Source organism: Homo sapiens, chromosome 10 (genome assembly GCF_000001405.40).
Source record: "Homo sapiens chromosome 10, GRCh38.p14 Primary Assembly".
In the NCBI taxonomy this organism is placed as follows: domain Eukaryota; kingdom Metazoa; phylum Chordata; class Mammalia; order Primates; family Hominidae; genus Homo; species Homo sapiens.
This window is the reverse complement of record NC_000010.11, coordinates 69,629,732-69,644,055: the sequence shown is the minus strand read 5'-3', so window position 1 is coordinate 69,644,055 and position 14,324 is coordinate 69,629,732. Positions and strand designations below refer to the sequence as shown.

The window sequence follows — 14,324 nt, the reverse complement described above, 5'->3', positions numbered from 1 at the left end:
CCCAGTTGATGCTGGCACCTCCTGCCCTTCCTCCATTTTCTGCAGGTGAAGCCCCACTTCAGGACAAGGGGCCAAGTGTACGATGCTTCCTCAGCACCTGTGACTGAGCACACGGCTACTGAGCTGCCTGCTGGCAATCAAGGGAGCCAGCCAGGGCTGCAGGAGGGGGGTCTAGAGGGGACTGTGGTCACCCTGGTGTCCTGGAAAGTCACTAGGTAAGTGAATAGAGGTTCTGAGTTGGAGAGCCAAGTTCAAATCACAGCTTTCCGTTAGTAGTTCCACAATCTCATGATGTCTTCTCATCTGCTAGTTGAAGAAAATGGCAGAATCTTCCTCTCAGCGTTCTGCTGAGGATTAAGCAAGGTCATGTATGTACAGCCCTTAGCAGCACTCATCGTCACAGACTCCAATTCAGAAGATTCCAGATTTGGGCCAGGCCAACTCTGACTCATCCCAATATTAAGAGCATGTTTAAAGTACAATCTTGAGTGTTCCTTCCATCAGTAACTACTTATTGAGCACCTACTACATGCCAAGCACTGCGGTGGACCGCAGGACTAGAACAACAAAGAAGACAGACACGAGGCCAGATTTCATGGAGCTTCTCACCTGGTGGGAGGCAAGGGAGAGTCGTGAATAAACATCAAACAAGGACACAAAGAATGAGTTTCTCTGCATTGTGATGAGGAAGCAAAGACGCCAAGGGAGCATATGACCAGGAAGCTGACCTCGTCTGGGTGGTCACGGATGATTTGTCTTCACCTCTTTCTTCTTCCTGCTGATGGGAATGACAGCACGATGGCTGGAGCTTTGCAGCCATCTTGAACGATGAGGCACAGGTGCTGGATGAGGGGCCTGCATTCCTGATAACCTTGTGAAGGTACCTAAGCCCCCTCTGTATTCTCTACTCCTAACTTACAGGGAGAAAATGACTTTTATATTGTCTAAAGATGGTGTTGTTTTCACTGAACTGCTGAAGTGGAGTTAGTGTTGCACACACCGCCTCTTCATTAGACTGTAAGAACCTTGGGGGAAGATGGAGGGCAGCACCCAGCACAGGGCCTTCCTATAGAAGGGAGTCTCAGTGGCTATTTGTGGAATTCGCTGATTAAGCAGGAAGGAGTTGAGAGGAGACAGAAGAATCACTGGACAGACAAATCAAGGGACAAGAAGCTTGAACCATTTCTAGAGACGTCTGAGGACGGAGCCGAAAGAAGGTGAGACAGAGACTCAGCAGCCAAGGACAGGGCCTGATTGAACAAGTTAAAGGACTTGAACCCAGGGAGATAAGTGACTTCTGAAACAAGTACCTTAAGGTGTTGGAGGGCTCCTCAGGGACAGCTTGATGCTGACTGTGGCCTTGAGTGTAATGTCCAAGGAAGACCCAAGAAATGGGGAGCAGAGGGACCTGGGTTTAAATCCTGCCACTTAACAGCTGAGTGAGTTCAGGTAAGTTCCCTGCCTCTCTGAGTCTTAAGTTTATCAATACAACAACTTAAATAGATGGGATAATATGTGTGAAATCCTCTACACCCTGCCTGGTACATGGTAGGCACCCAATCAATTGTAATCGTGGCCATCAAGCTATCAGGTGCTATGGTTGATGGACTTAAGGTGACCCCATGATCCCAGCCTCCTGGTGTTCATGCGTTTCTGTGATCCCCTCCCCTGGTGAGTGGGACCTGTGACTGGCTTCCAACCAACAGAACACGGCAAAGGGGAGGGGATGTCCAGAGCTAGCTTTGGAGTCTCTCTCCGTTGCTGGCTGTGAAGAAACAAGTTGCAGTGAGTCCTATACCTGCAAGAAAGCGCAGCTTATTCTTTCTAGGAAGCTTGGAAGTGGACCCTTCCCAGTCGAGCCTCCAGATGAGAATCCAGCTCTGACTGGCACTGTTGGCAGCTCTGCAGAGGACCTGCTAAGCCATGCCCAGGAACTGTGAGATACTAAATGTGTGTTGTTTTAAGCTGCTAAGTTTTTGGTGACTTGTGACATGGCATAGAAAACAAATAGAGGTGCTATATCAAGAATATGTTATGGAATACATAAGGAATATAAAACTTCCCCTTTTCCTGCACGTCAACCCCAAGAGGGGGCATTATTTCCCCCATTTATAGAGAAAACTGAGGCTTAGCAGAGCAGCTAAATTCCCTGAGACCACGCAGCTCCTGGGGGAGGAGGAGCCAGAACACAGACCCCAGGGCCTGCTGTGAGCCAGGAGGAGCACCAATATCCCTGCTGCAGTGGTGGCAGCCTTACCCCGCAACGTGCTGTGCAGCGCGATGAAGCCTTTAGCGGGGTCTGCCCCGCCCAGTCCTCCACAGACCGCACCCCTCCCTGGTGCCTGGGACCCAGCTGCTTCTCACGGTTCTCTGGCACCTATCTGGTCCCTGAGGGCATTTCAGTTTCTAACTCCTGCATAACTAGGGCACTGGTAGTTAGATCCCAAGTAGATCCAGCCCTGGTTTCTCAAGGGCTTGGGAGCAAAAGGCAAGAGTCTAACTCCCCTGGAATAAGGCAGAGGCAAGGAGACAGCACATGCACCCCCTTCCTGAGCTGTGAGGCCACAATGAGTCACTCCCACAACATCCATGTGTCCCAGGGTCACTGCACCCTCTGCACCCTGGGCTGGGCCTGACCTGTCACTTGACTCCAAGGAAAAGCAAGTGCAGCAGAGGAGGGAGAGAGAAGCGCGAATGCCACAGTCTTGAGAGAAACCCTCCCCAGGCTTCTGGAGTGGGCAGCAGTTCCCACCTGGTGGGTCTTCAAGGAAGGCTGCTTCTTCATTTAAAGAGAGGCTGGGATACAGGCAGATGTCACAGGGAGCCTTGGGACCCCCGGCTCAGAGCTACATTTATACTATTGACCTAGGTTCTTTCATTCCTCCCTCCCTCCCTGCCTCCCTCCTTTCTTTCTTCCTTCCTTCTTCATCCCACACGTGCTGCGGGGTAGAGCTACCTGCACTTACAACTTGAGAATAATGTCCCTGAGTACACAGGTGACAGAGAAGTCACCAGGATCCAACCCAGTCAAGGCAGGAAGAATGGGCTCTGTTTTTGGGGTCCCCTCCTCCCTTTAGTTGGGCTAGTGCCTCATGCCTTCTCATGCAGTTTGCAGAGCAGTCCCCAAGTTTTGACAAAGGGCCAGGGCCCCTGTCTGGGACTGGGAATACAAAAAAGAGCTGAGCATGATCCCTGCCCTCAGAAACTCAGTCTGCCATGTGAGAGGGAAGGAGCCACAAACCCTGCTCCCCGGGGACAGGGCAGCTCCCACCTGGAGGAAGGCTGGCTCATGGCTCTGGAACTGGAACCCAGGCTGCATGTTTTAAAGCTGCCCAGATGAACTGGTGGTGTTGCTAGGTTGAGAACAACTATCACAGGAAAAGGAACACGCTGTTGGAGGCACTTGTGGTTGGCTTGTATGTTCCCTTGCTGACAGCGTCCAGATTTTAGCCACTTCATCAGAAGAAAGTGATTTCTCAGGATTAGCTGAGCTCAAAGCTGCAAAAAAGAAAAAACAAACACACCCCCTCATAGACTGACAAGCGTGCTCACACAGGCCCATGCCTCAGAGGCAGATGTCTTCACTGCATGATACTGGTAAGCAGACATATTGGGAAATTTTTCTATTTTTTTTTCCTCCCAGAATTTCGAAAGCAAATTGCATTTTACATTTTCTTGACTGAGGGCAGACAATTTTCACTAATGGGCCCTGTAGGAGGTGATCTGATACAAACCCTCATCCATGGCACACCGCTACACCCCAGGCACTGCATACACGTCTTCCAATTGCAGCTCAACACCGCCCTAGATGACACGTCATCCCCATTTCACAGATGAGGCACAGTAAGGAACTTGCCCAAAGCTACCAAATGGGGAGCCTGTCTGACTCGCCTGCTTCTTGCCTCCAGTGAAAAAGACAAGAGCTAGGCAATGGGCCCCATGTCACAAATATCACGTTCATTGAGGGGAACCACCTGGCGCCAGGCTCTGAGTAAGGACAGGCAAGTGTGAGGCGTTGGTGGGTGCTGCACTGGGTAAGGCTGGGCTAGACATAGCCACCCCCACCTAGAGAGAGTGCAGCCTTAAACAGTAAGCAAGCCCCTTCCACTAACATGATCACAGCAACCCTGGGCCACCAAGTCTAAAACTTCTCACTCTGTCTCCTAGGCTGAAAACTCAAATACTGGAAGGTCTGGTTCAAGACTAGACCCCGGCGACAAACCCTCTCCCTGGGGGTTCCACAGCCACCTTCCACCCTCCCTAGGGCTCCCAGATTCAGTTTGCTGGAGGCTGGCGAGGCAGGCTCCAGATCTGCTGCCTGCCAACTTTGTGGCCACATATAAATTCCTTTACTCTGGGAAAAAGGAAGGACATATATTTTTCTTTGCTTGGGAGAGGATGAAATGAAACAAAACTTATGAATGTTCCCGGCACTAGGCTCAACCCAGGACGAAACCACAGTGAATGAGAAATTATAATGGAATTGTGCATGCTCTCCACCAGAAACCTTTCCAAAATACAAGGTAATACCAAGCCTGGGCTGGCTGAGGTGAGCACTAACCGGGAGCAGGAGAGCAGATGAATCCATTTGTAGTATATTTGCAGGAGGGAGTTCCTGCTCCTGTCCAAAAATTCCACCAGGTGGCGCCATGAGACAACTTTCACAACCTTTCCAGTCTACACACCAAGGTGGTGGGGGTCCCTCAGGTCCCTGCAAAAGGGCATTGAGAGTTCATTACCCAGTTCAGAGCAAGAAAGCTGGGGTCTTGGTCTCTCCTCAAGGCTTTTCTTAACTTCCTTAATCCAGATGTTCATGAAAATGGGGTGTTACTGGACACATAAAAGGGAACAACACACATTGGGGCCTTTCAGAGGGTGGAGTATGAGAGGAGGGAGAGGATCAGGAAAAATAATGAGTGGGTACTAGGCTGAATACCCGGGTGATGAAATAATCTGTACAACAAACCCCCATGACACAAGTTTACCTATACAATAAACCTGCACATGTACCCCTGAACTGAAAAGTTAATTTTTTTTAAAAAAGAAAGAAAATGGGGTGTTAGAGGAAGTGGGGACAGCAACGTGTTGGACAATGACGTTGGCAATGCCAGGCCAGGCAGCAGCAAAGTCCATCAAGCGTCTACTAAGGGCAAGGCCCTCTGTGGTAGGTGTCGGTCTCAGAGCTGAAAGGGGCCTTCGTGGAAGTCTAGCCCAGCCTGTTTGTTTTTCCAGAATGAGGGAGGCCAGGCGGGGGTCACTCCCTGCCTGTCAGAGGTTGTGGGGAGTCCCTCTCAGCTCGTCTCAGGGTGCAGTGTGACCCAGGAGGCAGTGTTCAGGTGAGGCCACTGCGCCTTTTCAAGGAGCCAGATGAGGGCAGAAATTGCACCCTATCCAACTGCAAAGGAGACTGAGAAACCCTATAAGGTTGTGATATCTCCCCTTGGGCCCTGGAGAAAGGGAGACAGTTCTGTCAAGATCCCCACATTTCAGGGAAAAACCCCATGGGTTGGTTCAGGGTCAGAGCTGCAAGGCCCTGAGGGTCAACTGAGTCAATCCCCCATGGTACAGGTGAGCCCAAGACAGGGTCGACAACTCAAACACCAAAATACTGCAGGATGAAAATGCTCTTCATGTACTCATATAAAATGTGCCAAGATACACTGCTAAGTGAAAAATGCAAAAGGCAGAGAAAAACGTGTCAAATTTTTCTATTATTTGTATAAAAAAAGAAAAAATAGTATATTCATGTTTGCTCATATTTGCATAACTAAATTCTGGAAGTATTTAGAAGACACTAAGAACAGTAGTTATAGTGGAGTGGAGGAGGGATGGATGGATGGGGACAGAGGAGGGAGAAAGGCTTTTCTCTATATACATTTGTACATTATATCATCTGAACCACACGAATGCATTACTTTACAAAGAGTAAGACTTTTAAAATAGCTTGCTCAAGATCATACCATGTTTCCCGCAGTTGTGGGGTACTCTTACCCGCCAGGGAGTGAAATGATTTGGGGTGGTGCACAAGATGATTATAAGCAATTTACAAACACAGCACCGAATCGGATGGTGAGGAAGTCATTCCTCTTTGTTTCTCTTCAGTCCTCTGAATCCATCGAGGAGAATGTCTCAGTGAGGGGCCAGTGAGGCTTCTGCACCACTCCCAATCTTCATAAACTGACTTTTTTAACAAAGAAAGCAGGCATCAGGCTAAGGGCTTGGACAATGGCAGTGACTAGCTAAAATGGAATATCATTCGTTTTGTCCTGGATTCATTTGTACGAATACCTACTGTGAATGGCAAGTAGTATTGGCTTTCCATTTACAATAGTAATATGAAGCTTCCTTTTAAAAAATTAATTTAAGATGTGAGCTGCTGTTAAAAAAAAAAATGTTAAGTGAGTCCTAATACCATTTCTCTGTGAATACAGTAACATTGAGCACTAACTTGTGCCAGAAACGGCTAAGTGCTTCCCATGAATTAATGTACTTGATCCTCTCACTGTGGGAGGTGCAGATGAGGACACGGAGGTTTAGGGAGATGCTGGGTTGTGCCAAGGCCTCTGGTTAACAGAGCTGAAGCCGGGAATGGGAAGCAGGCATTCAGCCCCCAGCAGGGCCCCCGCCCACCAGAGGGACTGGAGCTGGCCGCTGGGCCAATGCAGACCAGCCCTGGCTCCCAGCCCTGTGCCCCACCTGCCTGGGCACTTGGGGCAGTGGCCCTCCAGCTTCATCTCAAGTAGCTCCAACCTTCTCCTTCCAAACTCTGAGTCCCTAAAGCCATTTGGTTTCAGCCCTGCCCCCAGCCTCAAACCAGAGGCTCAGAGGCACACACATACACCCCTCCATACACACCCCCTTTGTAATTCTTTGAAGCTCTCACTCTACCTGCTTCTTGAACTTTCTCTTGCTGCTCTTTTGGGCACTGGGTGGCAGCACCAGGCGGGGTAGGCTTGCTTGTCCTACTGGCTGGGCAGGCTGCAGGTTCTCTATCTAGTTTTGGCAGCAGAGCTCTGCTGCCTCCCTCCCCTGCCCCCACTTAACCCTTTGAGAGATCACTGGATTTGTCACTTTGCAATGAAAATATGCATTCGGGAATGCAGGGAAGAGAGCTAAATCTCCATGACTGTGACCCAGGACTGGGAAGCCACTGAGGCCACCCAGCTGGGCAGCTGCAGCCAGCACCCTTGCACCAACTTCTGTGCCCTCTGCCCCCACACAGCTGATCTCATGGGGCTGCAGGCAGGTCTTAGCAGGTAGTACAGCTGGGCATCTGTATCTGCAGGTTTCTAGGCGATGCTGATGCAGGTACGGCCAGAGGTAAAAGAGAGGAGTGGTCAAGAGCAAGGGCTGTAGGTCTCTGAATCCTAGCTCCACCCAGCTCGCTCTGGGTCCTACAGCAAGTTATAAACCCTCTGCCATGTCCTCTGTCGTGAAATAAAGATGACAGTGACAATATTTATGTCATAAGGTGCTAGTGACAATTAAATGACATAACGTGCTTAGCACAGGGCCAGGCACTCCATACACTCTCAACAAACAGCATCCAGTCCTGACATTCAACACCAGCAACAAGCCCCTCAGCTTTCAGGAGCACAGCGAAGTGGCTGTGTTTCTTCTCTAACAGCTGCGGGAGGGGCAACTCTGCTCTTAAAAGCCCAGCACCGCCCCAGCCAGGGATCCCAGGTGCCTTGGACAAGGCAGCCACTCTGGAGCCAAAGCTGCCAGTACAGAAGCTGTGGGCCATGGTGCAGCACCTGCAGAGGCAGCTCAGGGGCAGGCGCAGTCCCCCTCTCCACGGCCCTCTGCCCACCTCCTACCCACCATGCTTTCAGTGATCCCCTGAAAGGCTCTGAGAGGCGGGCAGGTCCCAGATCATCATCCCTTCACAGGGATGAGGAAACCAAGGCTCAAGAGGCTGAGTGAACTGTCCACAAAGAGCAGAGCCAGGCCTGCAAACAGGCCTCCTGTGCCACCCGGTGAGCCAGAGCGCAGGGGCGGCTTTCCTCCCCTGTCCTCAGGTTCAGGCATCCAAGTGGACAGACGCCTTGACCACTGCCTCAGGGCTTCCCCCTCAGACCCATGGAGCTAGAAAGGCCCCAGAGAGGGAGCCCAACATCCCCAGCCCTCACCTATGCTAAAAGGCCCCGTCACAGGGAGGCAGGAGCTGAGAGACAGCTGCTCGGGGGAACTGGCAAAACCAGAGTCACTGTTTCACCTGATCTCAGGCTTGGTGTCTCCTTCAGGGAGATGATGGTTTAGTCCCCACTTCCAGGACTAGCTGGAGGGTGGAGAGGGAGGGGCTTAGGGAGCCAAGGGCTTGGAATTTGTGGAGGGCACCAGGAGGGCAGCTGGTCCCCAGAGATTGAGCAGAACAGACAAGTCAGACCCCAGCAGTTCTACTCACCGGGTGGCCCCGCAGAGGCAGTGGAGGCCTAGTGGGATCTGAGCTGGTGGCTCACGTGGGTGGGAGTAGGAGCAGCTCTCCCCAGGCAGCCAGGCTGGAAATCCAGCCTGCCACGGAGACACAGGGCTTTGAGGATCAGCAGAAACCTCCCTGGAAATCTGCCCTCTTGGGCAGGATTGGAACGAGTCAGGCAGCTCATTCTGGGGGTCCTGTCACATAGCAGGCAGAGTTGGTGGTGGGCAGAGAAGGAAGATCCCACCCCCTCAGTGAGCTTCTGATTAGGATGCTGAGTAGACCGAGGCAGAGGCTCACTCAGGCCCCTCAGCTCTGATCTGGCCTCCCAGAGGACCTAGACTCTGCCTGTGCAGGGTGCAGCCGCCCGGTGAGGCCTGGGTCAGTAGGTGCAGGTGAGAGACCTGCTGGGGGAATTCAGGCAGGCTGGAAGCACATGGCCCCAGGCCACTCCCAGCTGCAGGCTGCAGGACCCCAGCGGGGTCTCCCCACACTAAGCTGCCTCTGTCTCCAGCACCTTTCAGACACTGGGCTTAGGAAGTGAGGCAGAGAAGACAGGTAGCTCAGAAAAAGGCCAAGAGTCCAATCCAACCACAGCAGCTCTATGGGGCCTGGAGCTCAGTCAACAAACAGGGCAAGACTTCACCTCCTCTTGGTCCCCACCAACTGACTTCCAGCCCCCAGCCCTGCCTCTTAGGCCGGCTAAGCACCAAGCAAGCCTCAGGAAAAGCCATCTCTGCCCACTGTGGCCCCTGCCCACTTCCGCCATCCTGCCTAAAGCCAGGCAGGCCTCTCTCCTCCCGCTCTTTCTAGTCAGGCGCAGAGGGAAGCCCTGCTCACCCCTGCCTTCTCTAACGGACCCTAATTCTCAAAGGGCTTGGACGTTGGGAATGGAAACTGAGTTCTAGAAAAAGGTATTGTTATCAGCCCTGAATTTGAGGACTCAGATTCATATCCCCTCAAGGTATTTTATATATTGGGGTTTTCCACTCATAATTTATTTTTTCAGAGTTCTGCAGCTTTGCAAGGGGAAAATGAAAGGGAAAACCCACCCCTAAGAGAAGCTGAGAGAAAAGAGAATTAGGAGAGTGGGGTATGGCCAGGAACTTCCCTGCGGCTGGCGGGCTGGAGCTGTAGGGGCTTGGAGCCAGGCAAGTGGGTAGGCCGAAGTGTCAGGACAGAAGGAGATGCCACGGGGGCCAGCTGGGACATCAGCAGGGCTGAGCCCCCACCTCTCTTTGTCCAGGCCCCAGGTGAGAAGCTCCTGTTCCAGACAGCATGGCAGGCTCTCAGATGGAGGGGTGGCCTCAAGCTCCTTCTAGCGCCCATCCTCCCCGAGACCTAGCAACTCCAAAACATGCCTTCCTCCCTGCAAACAACCAAACCCAGCGGATCCCAAGAAAAGGATGAGAAACCTGGTGCCAGGACAGGCAAGTCCTTGACTCACCCAGCCTCCCTCCAACCCATAAATAACCCTCCTCCCTCTGTGGCCCAGAGCCTCAGCCACCCAGTGCCTCCCCAGGCAGGGCCTCCACGCAGACCCAGGGCTCACATGTCAAAACGCAAGGCCTCCTCTCCAGAGAAGCAGGGCATCCTCATTCCACATGCACCATTTTCTAAGGAGAATGCACTGCAGCCAGGGGTGACAGAAGCCTCTGGAGGGTGAAAGAGGCTGAGCAGCCTCTGGTCAGGAAGGTCTCCTTAAGCAAGGGAGACCTCGGACCTGCACCCCAGCTCTCCCGACCCTGCAGCCTCACCAGCCATTCTGGCCAGAGGAACCCTCCCCACAAAGCTGACCATCATGCCTGGCATCTCAGAGTGAGGCTGGAAGTTATCCACACATCAGGCAAGGGGTCCAAGCCAGATCTCATCTAGACCTTCTCTCCTAGTTCTGCGTTCCTACTGAGAAAATCTTAGAAACCACCCTCTGAGGTCAAATGCTCGCTGCTGCCTGTTCCCCGAACCCAATCCCTCTTTACCATGTTTTCCGGATCTGCATGCAGGTGTACGATTATTCATACATTTCTTTATATGGACTCATTTTTACTTAAATCTATTTATTGAAAAGGTCACAATAAATAGAATGCCACTACCACTTGTCCTAAACAATAAAGTAGCCAATAAAAATATACCATTAAAACAAAAACAGTGCTAAAAAAGTCTGGAATTTTTTCCACCTGCCCTAAGCCCAAGTCCTGCTCCCTAGGCAGAGGAGACGTCGGCATGTCTTCCACAGGCATCGGAACATGTTGGCATCCAGCTGAGATCTTCTCGGCATAAAAGGATTGAGAGAATTGGGAAGGGCATCGCTTTCTTGCTCTGATTTTGTGCCACTTAATGCAGGCCCCATACCACCTAAAAGTATCTTGGGAACCAACGGACCCACCCACACTTTGGAAATGCTGGACTAACGTCTCCCTCTGCCTCACGCTTAACACAAAGGGGAAACACACACCTGTGGTCCCCTCTCTGATCATACCTTCAAGGCACCACCAGATCCCCTCCAAATATGCCTGCTCTCACACCAAGGCCCAGCAAGTCCCTCTCAACAAACCCACCCCTATCAGCCCTCAGAGGTCACCGCTGACTCAGGTGGGACACCAGGTAGACAAGGCCAACCAGGAGGAGGCCACGAACACCAAGCATCATGAGCAGGAAGAGGAGCAGGATGGAGGTCACCGGCTCCACAGCATGGTTGCCAAGATGCCACTGCGGAAAGCCCATGTTCACCAGCTGCCGGTTGAGGTCATTGAAGGGGGACTGAGCAGCACCCAGCCTGGCACCTGCCTGCTGCTGGCGGGGGCCAGGACCCCCTGGGGGAGCACCATGGCCCCTGTTGAAGAAGCTCTGGAATGTGAAGACAGAGAGAGATGAATGAATCATTGGGTTGACGCACCAGCCAGGAATCAACCTCTCTAGGCTGCATCCTGCCCTTCCTACAGCCACCCAGGGTCACACCCTCCTTTCTCAGCAATCCCCCATGCCACCCATAAGAATCCCAACAACCAAGTCACAAGCTCTCAGAGCACAGAACATGCCAGTCTATATTCCTCACATCAGGCCCAGGACAGAGGAGAGAGGAAGTGGTTGAGGCAGGTTGGACTACAGGGCATGGCTCTAGGGCCAGCATTTTTAATACTCATCATCACTCCTTTCTTTTTTTTTTTTTTTTTTTTTTTGAGACGGAGTCTCGCTCTGTCACCCAGGCTGGAGTGCAATGGCGCGATCTCAGCTCACTGCAACCTCCGCCTCCCAGGTTCAAGCGATTCTCCTGCCTCAGCCTCCTGAGTAGCTGGGATTACAGGCATGCACCACCACACCTGGCTAATTTTGTATTTTTAGTAGAGATGGGGTTTCATCATGTTGGTCAGGCTGGTCTCAAACTCCTGGCCTCCTGATCCGCCCACCTCAGCCTCCCAAAGTGCTGGGATTACAGGTGTGAGCCACCGCGCCCAGCCACCCCTTTAAAATGATTATTCTGTGCCCAGGGCTCATCTCCTCCACTTCCTCTCCAGCTTCTGTCATCCAACCCACTCTTAAAAGAAAGACGCTAGCTCCAGTGAGGTTTGCTAACCAAGTTAAAGGAGAGAGAGCTCTTGGCTGTGAAGTCTGGGGAGGCGCCTGGAGAAAGGAGATCTGGGGAGGTAGACAATAAGCCACTGCATCTTCCCCAGCTCTCTGCAAAGAGGGCTTCAGGCTAGAAAAGGTTAGTGACCAGCAAGAGAGACTTCTGGAAGCTAGGAGTAGCCAGTACACAGGAGGCCATCTGTCCCACTCCACAGGAAATGAGTACCTACCTGTCGAGGAATGCTACCTCTTGGTGGCTGGGTAGTGGTCCTCACTCGGGGGTCGTCATCCTGCACGATTTCCCCATTGGCCAAGATCCGCACCATCCTCCCAGGCGCTGTGGGTCCCTGATGGGCTGCACCTGCATTGTGTGGTCAGGGTGGGCAGGCTAATGGAAGCCAAGTGGCACAGAAGTTCTCCCCACCACAAAACCTTTAGCTGTTAGTGATCTGGGACCAGACTCGTGAAGATCTGTGGAGGATTTTCCCCCTGACCTCAAAAAGCTTGAAGGAAAAAATTTACCAGAAATTGAGGGAGGCTTGCAGTCAGTGATGTTCACAGAGGTGACCCACGCTGAGTAGATGCTGTGTCTGATTAACAAAAAGGGGAGAAATAAAGGCAAGTTGTTTGCCAGGCAAAAAGATTTCAGACATTGAGTCCACCAGGAAAACTATCAAAAAGATCCTTGGCAAAGGAAGTTTTACTGCCAATCACTACACTGCCAACAGCACAACTGGGACTAGAGCCTCTGCTGTGGCCCACGCCCCGTGGAAGGCCCATCCTGCAAGGCTCACCTCACTCAAGCCTCACAACACTCCCCCGAGGAGGGTACTAGCGCGGCCATTGCACAGGCGGAGGCACAGGGAGACTTAAGTGGCCTGCCCGGGATCACACCTACGGACAGCAGAGAAGGAACACGAGGCCAGAAGCTCTGGTTCTAGGGCCCTCCCTGGGTACTAAACTGGGAGTCCAGGGCACCAGCATCCCCAGTGGGGTTCCAATTCCCTTCCACTAAAAAATGGGTCGAGTGTGTTGCTCCCCCAGGGAGTCAATGTCACCACCTGGGCCTTCCCCAGGAACACCCAGGGAGATGAGGGTCACTTCGGGGTTACTTTACAACCACTGCCTGGTAGCGGCAGACCATCCTAGCCATCATGCGCCTCGGAAGAGCACACCTTTGCTGCAGAGGGCACGCCCCTCACCTGTCCCTCACTTCGCAGGGAACACCAGTCCAACCTTGGCTAACGGGCGCAGGGCCCAGCCTTCCCAAAATATGGGAGGGGGTTGCTGCGGTGGCCCTCGAAAGGCTCCACTCCGCGGACCCCTGGACTGCGGGGCCCCTCCACGCCTCCCCTTGAGTCTGGGTAAAGGCCATTCATTCTCAGGAGATGAGCCTCAGTGTCCACCTACATTCCAGATAGCACTGGTGACATGTATGCCGAAAAAGGTCAGGAGCCCTGTGGTCTTGCCCGTAGCCTGGAGCCCGGGACAGGCGCGTCCCCCTCCTGAAGCCCGCTGGCCCTGGCGCAGGCCGAGCGGATGGTGGTCGCGCGCAGTCCCTTTGTGCTTTGTCATCGCGCCCCCGCCCGGTGGGCCACCCGCGCGCCCGGCCCGCGGCGCACCTGACATTCCGGGCCGGGGGCGGGAGGGACGCTGCCCCGGCCGCCAGCCCCAGCCTCTGGAGCCCGACACCGGCTCCAAGTCCCGGCCCGGGCTGCAGCGAGGGATGCGCTCCCTCCCCGGCGCGGCGACTCACCTGCAGGCGCGACTCCGGGCCTCGGCGGCGTCCACTCCCGGCGGCTCCAGGCGGTTTCCTCCCACCTGACCTCACAGGAAGCGCGCGCCGGAGGGGCGCGGCCCAGTGGCGGCGCACATCGCCCTCTGTAGGCCGCCTGAGGAATTGCACCTGCCCGGCCCAGGGTTGGGGGCGGCGCGGGGTGCTGGGGGTCGGGGAGATGGGGCGTGGGAAGGAGTGGGAGGTGGGGATGGAGAGAAAAGAGGATGGGAGGAGAAGACACGTGGAAAAGAAGGAGAAGAAGGAGGAGGGAGAAAAGAAGGAAAAGGAAGCGGCGTCCACGGAGGAAAAACCCAGGGGGTGGGGGCGCCCTGGCCTGGGAGGAAGGGCGGGCGCAGGCTCAGATGACCAGTGTTATGTTTGCTGACCCAGCTCCGTGGATGCCCCTTGAGTAGGACCCAACCCTGCCCTCTAGGAGTTCCAAGTTCAGTGGGGAAGATGAGGCAGGAACGGGGCAGAACCCTCTGTAGGCTTCCAGGAGAAGATGCGTTTGAGCTGGGGCAGGAGGGTAGGTAAGGATAGAGAAGGTCACTCTTGGCAGAA

At 53.4% G+C, this 14,324-nt stretch overlaps 1 protein-coding gene across 4 annotated transcripts, besides 1 other annotated feature; it reads right to left on the bottom strand.

Moving 5' to 3' along the window:
• Positions 1 to 10,459: 10,459 nt before the first annotated feature.
• Positions 10,460 to 13,809, bottom strand: FAM241B (family with sequence similarity 241 member B). Of its 4 annotated transcripts, none has more exons than XM_005269606.3 (4): positions 13,397 to 13,809; positions 12,509 to 12,576; positions 12,217 to 12,347; positions 10,460 to 11,266 (listed from the first exon to the last, which is right to left on the bottom strand). In XM_005269606.3, the coding sequence occupies exons 1-4, from the start codon at positions 13,417 to 13,419 to the stop codon at positions 10,997 to 10,999; spliced, it is 492 nt and encodes a 163-aa protein (XP_005269663.1). In that variant the 5' UTR covers positions 13,420 to 13,809; the 3' UTR covers positions 10,460 to 10,996. The 4 variants fall into 4 exon arrangements, with proteins under 4 accessions (XP_005269663.1, NP_660349.1, XP_011537757.1 ...); NM_145306.3 differs by having other exon boundaries at positions 13,743 to 13,809; XM_011539455.3 differs by lacking the exon at positions 13,397 to 13,809 and adding an exon at positions 12,781 to 13,352.
• Positions 12,381 to 13,266: an enhancer, noted in NCBI's record as "H3K27ac-H3K4me1 hESC enhancer chr10:71390546-71391431 (GRCh37/hg19 assembly coordinates)". NCBI's record gives its function as "activates a minimal SCP1, AML or CMV promoter by ChIP-STARR-seq in naive H9 embryonic stem cells {active_cell/tissue: H9 hESC(naive)}" and the evidence as "EXISTENCE:reporter gene assay evidence [ECO:0000049][PMID:30033119]".
• Positions 13,810 to 14,324: the final 515 nt, after the last annotated feature.